This window comes from Homo sapiens, chromosome 1, assembly GCF_000001405.40.
Source record: "Homo sapiens chromosome 1, GRCh38.p14 Primary Assembly".
In the NCBI taxonomy this organism is placed as follows: Eukaryota; Metazoa; Chordata; class Mammalia; order Primates; family Hominidae; genus Homo; species Homo sapiens.
The window spans coordinates 25,841,919-25,860,447 of record NC_000001.11 but is presented as its reverse complement, the minus strand read 5'-3'; the positions used below and the strand labels follow the sequence as shown (position 1 = coordinate 25,860,447).

Here is an 18,529-nt window from a genome sequence, read left to right as displayed (position 1 = left end):
GCGGTGGCTCATGCCTGTAATCCCAGCACTTTGGGAGGCTGAGGCAGGCGTATCACGAGGTCAGGAGTTCGAGACCAGCCTGGCCAATGGTGAAACCCCGTCTCTACTAAAAATACAAAAATTAGCTGGGTGTGGTGGCGTGCGCCTGTACTTCCAGCTACTAGGGAGGCTGAGACAGAAGAACCGCTTGAACCCAGGAGGCGGGGCTGCAGTGAGCCGAGATAGCGCCACTGCACTCCAGCCTGGGCGACAGTGAGACTCCGTCTCAAAAAAAAATTTTTTTTACATATACAATATGTAAACATTACGTATAATGTACATATATTCCATCTATGGAGATTGTGGTTAGGGACGGAAGGATGGGTGGGGGTGCCAACATTTTTGCATTTCCAAGGGGTTTTCTGAATTCACAAAGTACTTTCACAACCTCATTTGATCCTCTTTAAAATCCAAGGCACAGTAAACGGTGAAAGCAGGACTGAAATCTAGTTCCTGACCCCAAATTTTAACCTCTTCAAAATCCTCTCCCATGTGGCTTCGTAGTTACGCTTACATTAAAAAAAAAAAATTACCAAAGTTGTTCGCACACTCGAGTGTCTGGTAACCACTTAGGTCGAGGACCCCTGGTCTGGAGTCGACGGGCCTGATCTCGGCTCAGCCACTTCCTTCTGGGGGTGATCGCGAAGATTCAGCGATGACACGAACAAATTCCTAAGCCCGGGAAATACTGTAAGAAATTTTCAATACAGCAAAAAGAAAATGTACATTTCTGAGGCTGTCGAGAACCGTTCACACAGCAGCTTCCGAATCCGCTCTTGAAAGAGCGGATCAGAAAGAACACGCACTCCTCCGCGCAGGGAAATATGCCGCACGCACTCAAGGGACCGGCCGCGAAAGTTAGTGCGTGGGCGGGGCACAGCGAAGGGGGCCAGGGCCTTGCCGGGGCGGGGCTGGCGCCCGGGGCGGTCGCGACGTAGCCCCGCCCCCAGCGTTGGCGCGAGATCCGAACGTCGGCGGCCGCGGTTCTGGCGTTCCCTGAGGCGCCGGGAGCCTGCGCCGGCGTCCTGCCGGCTTCGTCTCCTCAGCGGCCATGAGGCGGACAGGCCCCGAGGAGGAGGCCTGCGGCGTGTGGCTGGACGCGGCGGCGCTGAAGAGGCGGAAAGTGCAGGTGGGACGCTGGGGGATGAGAGGGCGTTGGGAACCAGGTAGGGCCTGGAGGCGTAAGACGGGAGGAGTTTGGGGGACACCTGGAGATGATGAAAGCGAAGTCGGGGACAGAGAAGGGAACAGCGTTGGGGATTCACAGGCGAGAGGGATTGTGGTCTGAAGAAGGTTGAAAAACGGGGCTTGGGGAGGATGGGAGGGACGGAAGGAAAGAGCGTGCTGTTGGGGGGTCTGGAGGAGCGGTGCGCAGGGAGGGGCGGCGAAGGTTCAGGTGTGGGAGAGGCGGAGGGAAAGTTCGCTCGGAGCAGTTGAACTGACCAGGCTCCCTAGGAGGCCACAGTCCCTGCGAGACGTCCTAGTAGAGGCTGGAGCATTGGGAGATGGATGCGAATGCAAATTGGGGAAATTCTCACCCCGGGGTCTGTTTCCACCCAATTTGCCAAGTTGCAGGCCAACTACCTGCCCAGAACCGGTAACTTTGAGGGGAAAAGTAGAAGCTATGGGAAGGGGAGCTGGCCTCCTATGTACTGAGCAGTCACTGGGTGCCGGATACTGCATTAGATACTGAATATGCGTTATATGTGTCGTCATTCTTGCTGGGAATGAGGAAACTGAGGTTCAGTAACTAACCTAGGCCCGCCTAACTAGAAGGAGCTGGAAATCACATTCAGGTCTGTCACCTAGGCAAGATGCTCTTCAGTCACTGTAAAGAAACAAAAGTGCGACATAATAATCATTCATGTTTATTGAGCATTTTATGCTGGTGCTAAGTGTTTTAGGTATGTTACCTTGTTTGGTACAATTCTATATGGTAGATAGTGTAATGATACCCATTTTACATACGGAAAACAGGCTCAAAACAGACACTAGGGGCAAGATTCTTGCTCTCAGGTTGCTCACAGTCTTATAGGGAAGAAAAGAGGTGTATAAATAATAACAACAATACCTAACCTTTATTGAGTGCTTTCTATGTGTCAGGCATTTTGCCGAGACTTTATACACTTTATCAATGGCAGGTACTCACCAAAATTCAGTAAAGTAGATTTTGTCATTATCCTGGTTTTATAGATAAGAAATTTGATCATTTTATTATTATTATTTATTATTATTATTTTTTGAGATGGAGTCTTGCTCTGTCGCCCAGGCTGGAGTGCAGTGACACAATCTCAGTTCCCTGCAAGCCCCACCTCCGGGGTTCACGCCATTCTCCTGCCTCAGCCTCCTGAGTAGCTGGGACTACAGGCGGCCACCACCACGCCCGGCTAATTTTTTGTATTTTTAGTAGAGACAGGTTTTCACCGTGTTAGCCAGGATGGTCTCGCTCTCCTGACCTCGTGATCTGCCCGCCTCAGCCTCCCAGAGTGCTGGGATTACAGGCGTGAGCCACTGCGCCCGGCATATTATTATTATTGTTATTTTTGAGATGGAGTTTCACTCTTGTTGCTCGTGCTGGAGTGCAGTGGCGCGATCTAAGCTCACTGCAACCTCTGCCTCCCGGGTTCAAGCGATTCTTCCGCCTCAGCCTCCCGAGTAGCTGGGACTACAGGCGCCCGCCACTACGCTCGGCTGATTTTTGTATTTTTAGTAGAGACAGGGTTTCACTATGTTGGCCAGGCTGGTCTTGAACTCCTGACCTCAAGTGATCCGCCCGTCTCGGCCTCCCAAAGTGCTGAGATTACAGGCTTGAGCTACCGTGCCTGGCCGATTGTTTTATTTTTTCAAAAATTATCAAAATGGCCGGGTGCGGTGGCTCACGCCTGTAATCCTAGTACTTTGGGAGGCCGAGGCGGGCGGATCACCTGAGGTCAGGAGTTCGAGACCGGCCTGGCCAACATGGTGAAACCCCGTCTCTCCTATAAAAAATACAAAAATTTGCTGGGCGTGGTGGCAGGTACCTGTAATCCCAGCTACTCGGGAGGCTGAGACAGGAGAATTGCTTGAACCCAGGAGGTGGAGGTTGCAGTGAGCCGAGATCGTGCCACTGCACTCCAGCCTGGGTGACAGAAGACTCAGTCTCAAAAAAAAAAAAAAAAAAATCAAAATGTGCAATAGCTATTTATTACTCCTTGAATTAGGAATAAGCCATTTGTACCCTTTGAATACATTCTTGAATGACATGGGATGCGTGGGAAACTTGTATACCACTTTGATTTGTTAGTTAATTTTGGAGACAGGCCTCAGTCCGTCACCCAGGCTAGAGTGCGGTGGCGTAATCACGACTACCTACAGCCTCAACGCCCCCGGGCTCCAGGTGATCCTCTTGCCTCATCCTCCCGAGTAGCTGGGACTACAGGCATAGTGCCACAAAGCCCAGCTCATTTTTTGTATTTTTTTTTTTTGTAGAGACGGGGTTTCGCTGTGTTACCTAGGCTGGTCTTGAACTCCTGAGCTCAAGTGATCTGCCCACCGTGGCTTCTCAAAGTGCTGGGATTACAGGTGTGAGCCACTGCACCCAGCCACCAGTTTAATTTAGAAAGAGAACAGAAATAGAATTAGGAAGAGTTCAGGAGAGCGAGAAAGGGAATATTCCACAGGGAAGAGGAGAGCCAATATTTGTCTCTCTGTCTATAATTCTGTTTTGTTGTTGTTGTTGTTGTTGTTGTTTTCCGAAATGGAGTCTTGCTCTTGTTGCCCGGGCTGGAGTGCAGTGGTGCGATCTCAGCTCACTGCAACCTCCACCTCCTGGGTTCAAGCAGTTCCCCTGCCTCAGTCTCCAGAGTAGCTGGGATTACAGGCATGCACCACCTTGCCCAGGTGAATTTGTATTTTTAGTAGAGACGGGGTTTCTCCATGTTGGTTAGGCTGGTCTTGAACTCCCAACCTGAGGTGATCCACCTGCCTCGGCCTCCTGGGATTACAGGCGTGAGCCACTACGCCCAGCCTAATCTTGTTTTATTGTTTGTTTTGTTTTTTTTTTTTTGAGATGGAGTCTTGCTCTGTCACCCAGGCTGGAGTGTAGTGGCATGATCTCGGGTCACTGCAGCCTCTGCCTCCCAGATTCAAGCGATTCTCTGCCTCAGCCTCATGAGTAGCTGGGATTACAGGCGTGTGCCACCATACCTGGCTAATTTTTGTATTTTTAGTAGAGACAGGGTTTCACCATGTTGACCAGGCTGGTCTCGAACTCCTGGCCTCAAGTGATCCACCTGCCTCAGCCTCCCAAAGTGCTGGGATTACAGGCATGAGCCACCGTGCCTGGTCTGTCTATAATTCTTATACCCCCAAATCCTGCCTTTTTCCCTGGCAATGTTATGGTGAAAACATTTGTCTTGTTGATGTAGTACATGACAGTTATAGAATCCTCCAGGATCTCTAGGCCCTTAACTTATTCTGATTTCTAGAGGCCTGGACCTTATGACCATACTCACTAACACCATTTCTCCTTCTTGTTACTTGATTCCCAAAGATACTTGTTAAAATCTTTGGTTCCTGACTATTAACTATTACTCTGACTTCCAACCCAGAGAAGAGTACTAAAGATTCCCTTTCACAAGGTGCCTCTTCCTAGAGTGGCTATCAAATAGGCATACAGTCCTTTGAGTTTTAATGTCAGGGATGGATGGGCAGTACCTAGTGTCTGTGTTTTTGAAAACATGCCTCTTCCCCCTTGATCTCTAAACAGAATGGTTTGCTATTTTTGAGAGAATGAGTAGTTTGTAGTCTGGCCAGTAGACAATAGTAGTCTATGTTTGGAGTGAGTTTGCTTCTCTCCTAATTTGAACTACCCATTTGGCCTCGTTACTTAGGCCTTGTATGTATACTAGATTTGCTTTCATTTTGTTTTTATATTATGAAAATAATATATGTTTGTTTAAAAAAAATTAAACAGGACTGTGGCTCGTGCCTGTAATCTCAGCACTTTGGGAAGCTCAGCACTTTGGGAAGCCAGGAATTTGGGACCAGCCTGGGCAATATAATGAGACCCCAACTCCACAAAAAATAAAAAAAGTTTATCATGGGCGGAGGAGTGTGGCAGTTTTAATGTACGTCCACAAATTCTTCAGTACTTTTCCTTCTAAAAGAACTTAATTCCCCTTTCCTTGAGCACAGACAGTATTTAGTGACTCCAATGAATAGAATGTGGTAGGTTATAGTGTTAGAATTCTGAGTCTAAGCCTGGCCAACATGGTGAAACCCCATCTCTACTGAAAATACTAAAATTAGCCAGGCTTGGTGACGGGTGCCTATAATCCCAGCTACTCAGGAGGCTGAGGCAGGAGAATTGCTTGAAGCCAGAAGGTGGAGGTTGCAGTGAGCCAAGGTTGCGCCACTGCACTCCAGACTGGGTGATAGAGTGAGACCCCATCTCAAAAAAAAAAAAAAAAAAAAAGAAAGAATTCTGAATCTAGGTCATAAATGACATTGCAGCTTTAGCTTCATTGTCTCTTTGGGAGAAGCCAGCTGTCATGTTGTGAGGACACTCAAGCAGCTCTGTGGAGAGGTTCATGCAGTGAGGAGCTGAGGCCTTTTGCCAACAGTTGTGTGAGTGAGGGAGTCATCTTGAAATTGGATACCGCACCTCTAGTTGATATTTTGAATGCAACCTCACTAGACTGTGAGACAGACCCACCCATCTAGGCTTAACCCAAATTCTTCATGCACAGAAGTTGTGAGATAATAAATGCCTGGCTGGATTTCAGACTGGTGACCCACTTATACCTCTTATCTCCCCCTTTTTGAACATAATGTCTGTAACAGTTATGCCCGTTCCAAATTGTATGTTAGATGTATGAGGGAAGATAATTTGTCTTTAGTTCACAGGCCTGCAGATCTAAAGGAACTGTATTTAAACTACATTTTTGGACTTCACATGTACCTGTTTTAGATGCTAGTATCCTTGATATTAAGCTAATGCTATAAAGAGATGAGATTTTTGTAGAGTTTTGGGAGGGAGGGAGTATATTTTGCATATGGGAAGAATGTAAGTAATTTGGGCCAGAAGGTGGACTGTGATGGTTTCAAAATATGTCCACACTCTTCCCTTCAAGAGGTGGAGCTTCATTCTCCTGCCTTTATGTTTGGATTGGACTTGGTAACTTGCTATTTATTTATTTATTTGTTTGTTTATTTTTTTGAGATGGAGTCTTACTCTGTTGCCTAGACTGGAGTGCAGTGGCATGATCTTGGCTCACTGCAACCTCCACCTGCTGGGTTGAAGCAGTTCTCCTGCCTCACCTTATGAGTAACTGGGATTACAGGCGTGCACCACTATGCCCGGCTAATTTTTGTATTTTTAGTACAGACGGGGTTTTACCATGTTGGCTAGACTGGTCTCAAACTCCTGACCTCAGGTGATCTACCTGCCTTGGCCTCCCAAAGGGATTACAGGCGTGAGCCACTGCGCCGGGCCGTAACTTGCTTCTAATGAATAGAATATTGCGGGAACTGATGGTGTGTGACTTTTTCAGATTGGGTCATAAATGGCTTTGTGACCTCTTTTGATTGCTCACTCTGGGAAAAGCTAGCTTCCATGTTGCTACATGAAGCCTGTTAACAGCCATGTTAGTGAGCTATCTTGGAAGTGGATCCTTTCAGCCCCAGTTAAGGCTTCAGATGATTGTAGCCTGAGCCAACATCATGAATGCAACCTCATGAGAGACCCTGAGCCAGAACCACCAAGCTAACCACCCTGAGAAGCTGTGTGAGATTAATGTTTTTTGTTTTGTTTTTGTTTGTTTGTTTGTTTTTTGAGACAGAGTTGCTCTGTCACACAGGCTGGGGTGCAGTGGCACGATCTCAGCTCGCTGCAAACTTTGACTCATGGGTTCAGACGATTCTCCTGCCTCACCCTCCTTAGTAGCTGGAATTACAGGCGCCCACCACCACACCTGGCTAATTTTGGTATTTTTAGTAGAGATGAGATTTCACCATGTTGGTCAGGCTGTTCTCAAACTCCTGACCTCAGGTGATCCACCTGCCTCCGCCACCCAAAGTGCTGGGATTACAGGCATGAGCCACCACGCCGGCCGAATGTTTATTGTTTTAAGCTTCTAAGTTTTGTGGTAATTCGTTACAAAGCAATACAACACTAATACAGCTAATATTAAGAAAGATTTTGTGAACAATATTTGGAAACTTTAATACCCACTTTCAATCATGGATATCAACAAGGAAAAAAGATTTGAACAATACTATAAACCAGGTAGACCTAACAGACAAAAATATAGAACAGTCTACCCAACAACAGCAGAATACATAGTCTTCTCCATGACACATGGAACATTCTCCACAAATACTAGGTCACAAAACAAATCTCAATAAATTTAGAAAGATGGAAATCATACAAAGTATATTCTCCATAATGGAATGAAAGTAGAAATCAGTAACAGAAGAAAAAGTAGAAAATCCACAAATAGGTTGAAATTAAACAGCACATTTCTAAATAACCAAGAGTCAAAGAAGAAATCAAAAGGAAAATTATAATAGAAAGTACTTTGAGATAAATGAAAACAAAAATATAATGCACCAAGATTTATGGGATGCAACTAACACTATGCTTAGAGGGATATGTATAGCTGTAAATGCTTTTATTAAAAAGAATCTCGGCCAGGCGCAGTGGCTCACACCTGTAATCCCAACAGTTTGGGAGGCTGAGGTGGGTGGATCACCCGAGGTCAGGAGTTTAAGACCAACCTGGCCAACACGGCGAAACCCTGTCTCTACTAAAAATACCAAAATTAGCTGTGCGTGGTGGCAGGCGCCTGTAATCCCAGCTACTCAGGAGGCTGAGGCAGGAGAACTGCTTGAACCCAGGAGGCGGAGGTTGCAGTGAACTCCAGCCTGGGCAACAAGAGTGAAACTCCTGTCTCAAAAAAAAAAACAACAAAAAAAAAAACCTTAAATAATCTAATCTTCTACCTTAAGAAACTAGAAAAAGAAGAGCAATCTAAACCCATAGTGACCAGAAGGAAGGAAATAATACAATTTAGAGTGAAAATAAATAGTAAAGAAAAACAATCAACATCAAAAGTTGGTTCTTTGCAAAGATCAACAAACTCAACACACCTTTAGCTAGACTGATCAAGAATAAAAGAGAGCACAGTGGCTCACACCTATAATCCCAGCATTTTAGGAGGCTGAGGTGGGAGGATCCCCTGAACCCAGGAGTTCAAGACCAGCCTGGGCAACATAGGGAGACCCTATCTCTACCAAAAAATACAAAAATTAGCCTGATGTGGTGGTACATGCCTGTAGTTCCAGCTACTCAGGAGGCTGAGGTGTAAGGATCACTGAACCCAGGGAGGTTGAGGCTGCACTGAGCGGTGATTGAGCCACTGCACTCCAGCCTGGGTAAGAGAGTGACACCCTGTCTCAATCAGTCAGTCAGCAAGAGGCCAGGTGAGGTGGCTGAAAAAACCCTATCTCTACTAAAAATACAGAAATTAGCCAGTTATGTTGGTGTGTGCCTGTAGTCCCAGCTACTCGGGAGGCTGAGGCAGGAGAATCACTTGAACCCGGGAGACAGGTTGCAGTGAGCCGAGATTGTGCCACTGCATTCCAGCCTGGGCGACAGAGTGAGACTGTCTAAAAAAGAAAATAAAGAGATAAAAATAATTAGAATACTATAAACAACTGTATGCTAACACATTTAGATAACTTAGATGAAATGGACAAATTCCTAGGAAGTCACAGACTACCAAACTTGCCTCAAGAAGAAATAGATAAAAATCAACTGACTGTAAATGTAAGGGTTTACTTCTGGACTTTCAGTTCAATTCCTTTGGTCTATAGACCTATAACGAAGAGATTGAATTAGTAATTTTAAAACTTCCTGCAAAGAAAAGTCCAGGTCCAGATAGTTTCTCTGGTGAATTCTACCAAACATTTAAAGAATTATACCAATCCTTCAGACTCTCTCAAAAAAATAGAATAGAAGAGGAGGGAACACTTTCCAACTCATTTTGAGGCCAGTATTACTCTGATACTAAAACTAGACCAAGATATCACAAGAAAAGGAAATTATGGTCTGGTATCCTTTATGAATACAGATACAAAAATACTCAACAAAATACAAGCAAAACAAATTTAGCAACACATAAAAAGGATTATAAATCATGACCAAGAGGAATTTATCTTAGGAATGCAAGGTTGGTTTAAATTTGAAAACCAATTAATATACCATACTAATAGCATAAAAGACAAAAACCACATAATCATGTCAATAGACACAGAAAAAGCATTTTGACTGACATCATTTTGTGATTAAAACACTCAACAGACCAGGAATAAAAGGGAATTTTCTCAGCCTCACAAAGGGCATCTATGAAAACCCAGTTAACATCATACTTAATGGAAGAAGACTGAATGTTTCCACTCCTAAATCAGCAACAAGACAAAGATCTTGCCACTCTGTTTACCATTGCACTAGAGATTTTATGCAGGGAAATTTAGCAAGAAAAAGAAATAAAAGATACCCAGATTAAAAAGGAAGAAGTAAAATTATCTGTTTGCAGAAAATATGATCTTATGTGTAGAAAATCCTAAGGAATCCACTTAAAAAAATTAGAAAAAATGAGTTCAGCAGTGTGACAGGATACAAAAATCAATTGTACTTCCGTATGGTAGGATTTTATCCAAAAAATGAAACTAAGGAAATAATTTCATTTACAATAGAATCAAATAGAATAAAATACTTAGGCATAAATTTAACAAAACAGTGCAAGACATACACTGGAAACTATAAAACTCATTGAAAGAAATTAAAAATGTAAATAATGGAAAGACATTACATGTTCATTGATCAGAAGACTTAAGATAGGAATATGCCCCAATTGATCTACAGAATCAGTGCAGTCCTTATCAACATCTCAGTTGTCCTTTTTGCAGATACTGACAGTCTGATCCAGAAATTCATGACATCCGAGGGATCTAGAAAAGCCAAAACAAGCTTGAAGAGTAACAAAGTTGGAGGAATCACATGTACTGATTTCAAAATTACTATACAGTTACAGTACTTAAGATGGTTTGATACTGTCATAAAGGTAGACACATTATAGATCAAAGGAATTGAAAGTCCAGAAGTAAACCCTTGTATTTATGGTCAGTTGTTTTGTTGTTGTTGTTGTTGTTGTTTTTAGAATCAGGGTCTCAATTTGTTACCCAGACTGGAGTGCTATGATCACACCCAGAGTGCTGATGTGATCATAGCTTTATTGAGATATGATTCATATACCATAAAATTTGCCCATTTAAGTATGTACCCCCGAGAGATAGGAAAACGTATGTCTGCACAAAAACTTGCACACAAATGTTCTTAGCAGCGTTTCTCATAATAGCCAAAAAGTGGAAACAATCCAAGTAGTCATCAACTGATGAACATCAACTGGTAAACAAAATGGTATATCTAGGGTTGAGTGCAGTGGCTCACGCCTGTAATCCCAGCACTTTGGGAGGCTGAGATGGGGCAGATCACTTGAGGTCAGGAGTTCAAGACCAGCCTGGCCAATATGATGAAACCCCGTCTCTACTAAAAAAATACAAAACTTAGCCAGGCATGGTGGCAGGCACCTGTAATTCCAGCTGCTCAGGAGACTGAGGCAGAAGAATTGCTTGAACCCAGGAGGCAGAGGTTGCAGTGAGCCAAGATTGCGTAGCTGCACTCCAGCCTAGGTGACAGAATAAGACCCTGTCTCAAACAAACAAACAAAATAACACAAAATGGTATATCTATATAATGGAATATTATTTGGCAATAAAAAAGAGTGAAGTATTGATACATGCTACAACATGGATGGACCTCCAAGCATTAGGCTCAGTGAAAGAAGCCAGTCACAAAAGACCAGATATTGTATGACACATAAAAGGCCCAGAATAGGCAAATCTGTAGAAAAGAAAGTAAGTGATTTTCTGGGCCTGGGGTGGGATGGGAATGAGGAATGACTGCTAAGGCTAGAGGGTTTCTTTTGGGGGAAATGAGAACTGTTCTAAAGTTAGATTCGGTGATAATTACACAACTTCATAAGTATACTAAAACTTAACTGTATACTTAAATGGGCAAATTTTATGGTATGTGAATTGTATCTCTATTAATAAAGCTGTTAAAATGAAAAGAAAGACGCTTTGTGGAAGAGTTAGACCTTAAATGAAGGGCCAGATTTGGTTGGAAATGGGAGTGCAGTGGGACATTATGAATAGTGCCACAGAAGCAGGAAGTATAAGGGATGTTTGTGAAACACGAAATAAAAGTTAAGGAGTCTTGAAGACCACCATAATTTTTGACAGCAACTTCAAGTTTGGGGGTCCCCAGAACCATTCTCAGGTTTCATAATTTGCTAGAAGTACTCACAGAAGTCACTGAAAGCTGTTATGGTTACAGTTTATTGCAGTGAGGAGACACAAATGAAAATCAGCCAATGGCAGGGGTATAGAGAGCCAAGTCTGGGAGAATCCCAAGCCTAAATCTTCCGGTGTCCTCCTAGTGAAGAAACAGACAATGCCAACTGCTCTCAGCAGTGATATGTAACAGTACACACAGAGTACTGCCAATCATGGAAGCTTAACTGAGCCTTGATATCCAGAGTTGTTTTGGGGGCTTAGTCACATGCATGTGGTTGACTCACCTTCCTGCTGACTTTAGTTTTCAGCCCTTATAGAGGTCATGCTGTTAATGCATGGCCTGAAGACCCCTCCATAAATCACATTGTTAGCACAGATTATTTGGTGTGGCCCAAAGCTCCCAGGTTAAAAAACAAAACAAAACACTCCTATCAGGTGGGACATTCCAAGGATTTAGAGATTATCTCTCAGGAGCTGCCAGGCCTCTCCTTGCATAAGATTCTTTTTTTTTTTTTTTTTTTTTTTGAGACGGAGTTTCAAAAATTTTTGCCCGGGCTGGAGTGCAATGGCACGATCTCAACTCACTGCGACCTCCGCCTCCTGGGTTCAAGCGATTCTCCTGCCTCAGCCTTTCATGTAGCTGGATTACAGGCGTGCACCACCAACCCAGGCTAATTATTTTTGTAATTTTTGTAGAGACGGGGTCTTACTGTGTTGGGATTACAGGCACGAGCCACCGCACCTGGCCAAGATTCTTTACTACATAGGGAATAATTCAATTTGGCTAAAGTGTAGACTATTCCCTGGAGTTGAAGGTGAGCTTAGGAGGGTAAACTAGTGCTATGTTGTTGGAAATTGATGGAAGGCGTTTGTTGTCATGGGAGCTATCTCTTAAGAAGATTAACCCATTAGTGGTTATTTGAGAGTGTGTAGTATCCTGACAGGTAGGCTAGAGGAATTTGGAGGATACTGCTGAAGTTTAGGTAAGAAATAACAAGGGCTTAGTCCAGGATGGCAGAAGTTGAAAGTTGTTTATTTTTAGTTGTTTATTTTATTTTATTTTTGAGACAGGGTCTCACTCTGTCACCCAGGCTAGAGTGCGGTGGCGTGATCTTGGCTCACTGCAACCTCTGCCTCCCGGGCTCAATCGATTCTCTCACCTCAGCCTCCCAAGTAGCAGGGACCACAGGCATGCGCCACTGTACCTGGCTAATTTTTTTGTATTTTTGGTAGACTGGGTTTCACCATGTGGCCAGGCTGGTTTTGAACTCCTGAGCTCAAGTGATGTGCCTCCCAAAGTGCTGGGATTACAGGTGTGAGCCACTGTGTCTGGCCAGTTGTTTATTTTTATTTTGGTTTATTAGTCTCTCTCTATATAAAAGTATAGGTACGCTCAAGAAGGACCTAAATAGGCTTAGTAGGGGATTGCTTAAATGTTTTTTAAGGTCGGGTGTGGTGGTTTATGCCTGTAATCCCAGCACTTTTGGAGGCTGAGGTGGGCAGATCACTTGAGGTCAGGAGTTTAAGACCAGCCTGGCCAACATGGTAAAACCTCATCTCTACTAAAAATACAAAAAAAATTTAGCTGGCATCGTGGCGCATGCCTGTAATCCCAGCTACACGGGAGGCTGAGGCAGCAGAATCACTTGAACCTAGGAAGCAGAGGTTGTGGTGAGCCAATATCGCGCTACTGCAGTCCAGCCTCGGTGACAGAGTGAGACTCCGTCTCAAAAAAAAACAAAACAAAAAAAACACAACTGTTTTTTAAGCTGTAATTTTGGTCCAGTTATTTGGACCAGCTCTCAGTGTCTTTTAAAGCCCTTTTGCATCTTCACATATGATTACATTTAGCAGCTGGAAATTGGTAGCTGAGTAGGTAAAGGACAGAGAAAAATAAAAATAGAAAATGTGACTTGAAATAGTATTTGGAAATTGGGAGAATAGGTATATAGCTGCTGATTGTATCCATATACTACAATACTTCTGTTGAAGTTAACACTTTCCAGGGGGATTCAGGATTTGCTCCAGGGTGAGGATTCTTCCTCCACTGCATTTCAGTTGAGGCACAATGGTCGTCTTTCTTTTATAGGACTGTCATCTCTGTGACCGAGAGAGCCATATGCAGCCACTGCTATAATGGAAGTAGTTAAAATAAGAGAAGATTTAAACAGATCTTCAATAAGTAGTCCTTATTAGAGCAAAACTGAGAGTAAATGTACAATGACCTCTGATATGCATGCATTATGGCCTTTAAGTGAAAAAAATCTCATTAGCAGGGAGTACCCTTTTTTGAGACGGAGTCTCGCTTAGCTGCCCAGGCTGGAGTGCAGTGGTGCGATCTCACCGCAACCACTGTCTCCCAGGTTCAAGCAATTCTCCCGTCTCAGCCTCCTGAGTAGCTTGGATTAGAGGCATCTGCCATCATGCCTGGTTAATTTTTGTATTTTAGTAGAGACAGGGTTTCACCACATTGGCCAGGCTGGTCTTGAACTCCTGACCACAGGTGATCTGCTCGCCTTGGCTTCCCAAAGTGCTAGGATTACAGGTGTGAGCCACCACACCTGGCTTTTTTTTTTTTTTTTTTTTTTTTTTGAGATGGAGTCTCACTCTGTTGCCCGCTGGAGTGCAGTGGCCCAATCTCTGCTCACTGAAGCCTCCACCTCCTGAGTTCAAGTGATTCTCCTGCCTCAGCCTCCCAAGTAGCTGGGACTACAGGTGCACGCCACCATGCCTGGCTAATTTTTGTGTTTTTAGTAGAGATGAGGTTTCACTATGTTGGCCAGGCTGATCTCGAACTCCTACCTCAAGTGATCTGCCTGCCTTGACCTCCCAAAGTGCTGGGATTACAGGCGTGAGCCGCCGCACCCGGCCTGGGAGCACCCTTTTATGAGACTTAGTAATGCCAGTGGATGTAGACATATCAGGTCTCCAATTAGGAATTGTGATAGAAGAAATTTGCTTTTCTCCTTTCCCCGTTGAATTTTCATGAGGTTTAGATGAAAAACCAATACAGAGTGGTGCTCGAGAAGATTCCTGCAATAAATTTGTGTTGTTAGATTACTTTGGGACGGAAAACTTCATAGTTCTCTGTGGGTGTACGCTTCCATCCCATCTGTGTTCTGGACCTTATCTGTGACATCAATTATAGTGACAGGAGCTCATCTTAGCTTGGATCACAGCATTAGAAAAGCCTTAGTGTTTTCTGACAGCACTATTGCTGTTGTGCTGAAAATGTAATGAGTAGCTATAAATAAAATGAAAACGGGAAATCCTTCCTGCATATCTACCTTCCTAAAGTATTTATTGAATTGAGTACCTATTATGTGTATTAAGCTATATTAAGTTCTGTGCAGGATAGGAAAAAGGTATGTGAATCACATGCTGATGTTGGGATTTTGTAGGATGATAAGTTTTCAGACACCAAGTGATAAATGGCCAGTTCAGAAGAGGAAGAGACCACACATGGCTGGGGGAATCAGGAATGCTTGGTGGTAAGCTGAAGAGTATGTTTTGGAGCTGGGTGTAAAAAATGCCTTTCTCTGTGAGGCATACAAATGAGGAGATTGGAGGCCATCAGCAGGGACTGACATGTAGTTCAGTATTATGTTATGGGATGCATGGAGGGCTTTTGGTAGTAGAGAAAAAGGTAAACTGGAATCATCAATGTGTGCAGTGTGAGTCTACACTTTATGCTACAGGTAATAGAGAAACTGTTGACAGATTTTGAGCAAGATGACGTGATCACAGCTGTACTTTGAGATTAATCTAGAAGTTATGTGGGGGATGAATTGAAATAGGTGGTGAATGGAGGCCTGACCAGCTAAGAGACTATTGTCATAGTTTAGGGCTAGGCAAGAGTTTATGAGATCCTAAACTAAGGTAGTGTGTTTTCAGTTCTGCAGAGAACTAAGAGAGGTTTGAAGTTGAAGCAAGTTTTGAATGAATACTTGGTTACTAATTCAACAGAGCTAACTTAAGTTGTTGGAGATGTATAATGATGAGACCCTGATAGCTTTTCTTGGTAACACTTCTTAAACAATCCTCCTTAGGGCATGCTTATGAGGTAGCGTCATCCTTTCAACCTGACTCAGTGAGGCATGACAGTGCTGACTAGAAAGGTTTTCATCCTAAATGTCATCAAATTAATGCTGGGAAAGACTAAAAGGAAAGAGGGACTTGGTGATGATGCTCTCAGTGACTCTAAAAGTGGAGGAGAATGAGTAGGGGCCCTGGGAAGCATAAAGGAAGAAGGAGTGTGGCAAAAGGAATAATACTTTCATGTGTGTCAATGGTGGAACATGAGACTTCATATACAAATTTAAGACCAGAGTGACCATTATGAAAAAAGGAAGTTACATCAAATTATGTACTAGAGTTGAAGGTCATAGTGAATCATGAAAAAAAAAAAGGAATTATATTTGTTTGAAGCAAAACTTTAAGATAAACTTATAGATAAATTATCGGAAGAGTTAAAAGATAAAATAAGAGCTAAACTTAATTTAAGTGCTGTGGAACCATGAGAACATTTTCTAATAGTGAGAGGAGTTATGTATATGATCCCAGCTCTTTTTTGATAATAGATTTGTTGAGCATAAGAAAGGGTCACACTTGGCCGGGCACAATGGCTCACACCTGTAATCCCAGCACTTTGGGAGGCCGAGGCAGGTGGATCATGAGGTCAAGAGACCATTCTGGCCAACATGGTGAAACCTCGTCTCTACTAAAAACACAAAAATTAGCCGGGCATGGTGGTGCACACCTATAATCCCAGCTACTCAGGAGGCTGAGGCAGGAGAATCGCTTGAACCCGGGAGGTGGAGGTTGCAGTGAGCCGAGATTGCGCCACTGCACTCCAGCCTGGGCAACAAGAGCGCAACTGTCTACATAAATAAATAAATAAAACAATGAAACTTGCTGCCTCGATGACTCTTCCTTTCATGGAAGATTTCTCTGCAGCATATGTTGCTGTTTGATAGCATTTTACCCACAAAACTCCTTTCAAAATTGGAGTTAATCCTCTCAAACCCTGCCTTTGCTTTCTCAATTAAGTTTATGTAATATTCTAAATTTTTTGTTGTCTTTTCAACAATGTTCACGGCATCCTCACCAGGAGTAGACTCCATTGCAAGAAGCCACTTTTTTTTTTGCTTATCTATTAGACGCAATTTCTCATCCATTAAAATTTTTATTGGGAGAGTGTATCAATTCAGTCACATCTTCAGGGTCCACTTTTAATTCTAGTTCTCTTGCTATTTCCATCACATTTACAATTACTTCCTTCACTGAACTCTTAAATACTGCAAAGTCATCCACGAGAGCTGGAATCAAATTCTTCTAAATTTCTATTCGTGTTATTTTGACCTCCTCCCATGAATCATGAATCCCTTTTTTTTTTTTTTTTTTTTTTTTTTTTTCAAACAGACAGGAGCTCACTATTTTGCCCAGGCTGATCTCAAACTCCTGAGCTTAAGTGATCCTTTAGTCTCAGTCTCCTGAGTAACTGAGATTATAAGGCAGCACCACCATGGCCAGATAATCACGAATGTTCTTACTGACATCTAGAATGGTGAATCCTTTTCAGAAGATTTTCAATTTACTTTGCCCAGATCCATCACAGGATTTATCTGTGGCACCTGTGGCCTTATGAAATGTAGTTCTTAAATAGTAAGACATAGAAATTGAAATTACTCTTTGATCCATGGGCTACAGAATGAATATTGTGTTAACAGGCATGAAAACATTAATCTTCTTGTACATCTCCATCAAGCTCTTGAGTGGCTAGGAACATTATCAATGAGCAGTAAAATATATATATATATATATTTTTTTTTTTTTTGAGATGGGGTCTCTGTCACCCTGGCTGGAGTGCTGTGGCATGATCATGGCTCACTACACTCCAGCCTGGGCTCAAGAGATCCTCCCACTTTGGCCTCCCAAGTAGCTGGGACTACAGGTGCATGTCACCACACCTTGCTAATTTTTAAATTTTTTGTAGAGACGGAGTCTCACCATGTTGCCCAGGCTGGTCTCAAACTCCTAGGCTCAAGCAATCTGCCTGCCTCAGCCTCCCAAAATTCTGGGATTACAGGTGTGAGCCACTGTGCCCAGCTAATGAACAGTAATATTTTGAAAATAATCTTTCTAAGCAGTAGAAAGTCAAGAGTGGGCTTGAAATATTCAGTAAACCATGCTATAAATAGATGTGCTGTCATCCAGGCTTTGTTGTTCCATTTATAGACCACAGGCAGAGTAGATATAGCATAATTCTTAAGGCCTAAGGATTTTCAGAATATTAGGTGAGCCTTGGCTTTAAATCACTAGCTGCATTAGCCCCTAACAAGAGAGTCATCCTGTCCTTTGATGCTTTGGAGCCAGGCATTGACTTCTCTGTAGCTACGGAAGTCCGAGATGGCATCTTCTTCCTATGTAAGACTATTTCGTCTACAGTGACAATCTGTTGTTTTGTGTAGCCACCTTCATCAGTGATCTTAGCTAGATCTTCTGGATAACTTATTGCAGCTTCTGCATCAGCACTCGCTGCTTCACCTGTACTTTTTATGTTATAGGGACAGTTTTTTTCCTTCAACCTCATGAACCAGCCTCTGCTAGCTTCAAACTTTTCTTCTGTGGCGTTCCTCACCTCTCTCAGCTTGCATAGAATTGAATTCAAGTTAAAGCCTTGCTCTCTGAATTAGGCTTTGACTTAAGCGAATGTTGTGGCTACTTTGATCATTTATCCAGACCACTCAAACTTTCTTCATATCAGCAATAAGGCTGTTTTGCTTTCTTATTTGTGTTTTCACTGGAGTGGCACTTATAATTTCCTTCAAGAACTTTTCCTTTGCATTTACAACTTGGCTGTTTGATGCAAAAGGCTCAGCTTTTGGCCTCTTGGGGCATGTCTTCCTCACTTAAGCATGATCATTTCTAGCTTTTGATTTAAAGTGAGAGACCTATGACTTCTCCTTTCACTTGAACACTTAGAGGCCATTATAGAGTTCTTCATTGGCCTAATTTCAGTATTAAATAGGGCAGCCCAAGGAGAGGGAGAGAGTTGAGGCAGTGGCCAGTGAGTGGAACAGTCAAAACA

At 43.2% G+C, this 18,529-nt stretch overlaps 1 protein-coding gene across 3 annotated transcripts in view, besides 6 other annotated features; it reads left to right on the top strand.

Moving 5' to 3' along the window:
- Nucleotides 85-710: an enhancer, noted in NCBI's record as "H3K27ac-H3K4me1 hESC enhancer chr1:26186229-26186854 (GRCh37/hg19 assembly coordinates)". NCBI's record gives its function as "activates a minimal SCP1, AML or CMV promoter by ChIP-STARR-seq in primed H9 embryonic stem cells {active_cell/tissue: H9 hESC(primed)}" and the evidence as "EXISTENCE:reporter gene assay evidence [ECO:0000049][PMID:30033119]".
- Nucleotides 85-1,336: a biological region, named in NCBI's record as "hESC enhancers GRCh37_chr1:26185603-26186228 and GRCh37_chr1:26186229-26186854".
- Nucleotides 174-233: a silencer, noted in NCBI's record as "silent region_465". NCBI's record gives its function as "represses an Ori minimal core promoter by ATAC-STARR-seq in GM12878 lymphoblastoid cells {active_cell/tissue: GM12878}" and the evidence as "EXISTENCE:reporter gene assay evidence [ECO:0000049][PMID:35858748]".
- Nucleotides 584-813: an enhancer, noted in NCBI's record as "active region_468". NCBI's record gives its function as "activates an Ori minimal core promoter by ATAC-STARR-seq in GM12878 lymphoblastoid cells {active_cell/tissue: GM12878}" and the evidence as "EXISTENCE:reporter gene assay evidence [ECO:0000049][PMID:35858748]".
- Nucleotides 711-1,336: an enhancer, noted in NCBI's record as "H3K27ac hESC enhancer chr1:26185603-26186228 (GRCh37/hg19 assembly coordinates)". NCBI's record gives its function as "activates a minimal SCP1, AML or CMV promoter by ChIP-STARR-seq in primed H9 embryonic stem cells {active_cell/tissue: H9 hESC(primed)}" and the evidence as "EXISTENCE:reporter gene assay evidence [ECO:0000049][PMID:30033119]".
- Nucleotides 834-1,093: a silencer, noted in NCBI's record as "silent region_464". NCBI's record gives its function as "represses an Ori minimal core promoter by ATAC-STARR-seq in GM12878 lymphoblastoid cells {active_cell/tissue: GM12878}" and the evidence as "EXISTENCE:reporter gene assay evidence [ECO:0000049][PMID:35858748]".
- The window catches only part of AUNIP (aurora kinase A and ninein interacting protein), a 27,552-nt gene continuing 10,013 nt past the window's right edge, over nucleotides 991-18,529 (top strand). For 2 of the 3 annotated variants that reach the window (NM_001287490.2, NM_024037.3), the window contains exon 1: nucleotides 991-1,168. In NM_001287490.2, coding sequence (NP_001274419.1) covers nucleotides 1,091-1,168 — 78 coding nt within the window. In that variant the 5' untranslated portion in view covers nucleotides 991-1,090. Of the gene's footprint in view, nucleotides 1,169-6,598; nucleotides 6,804-18,529 lie in introns of those variants that run through there. The other variant, XM_047430116.1, reaches the window with a different exon arrangement.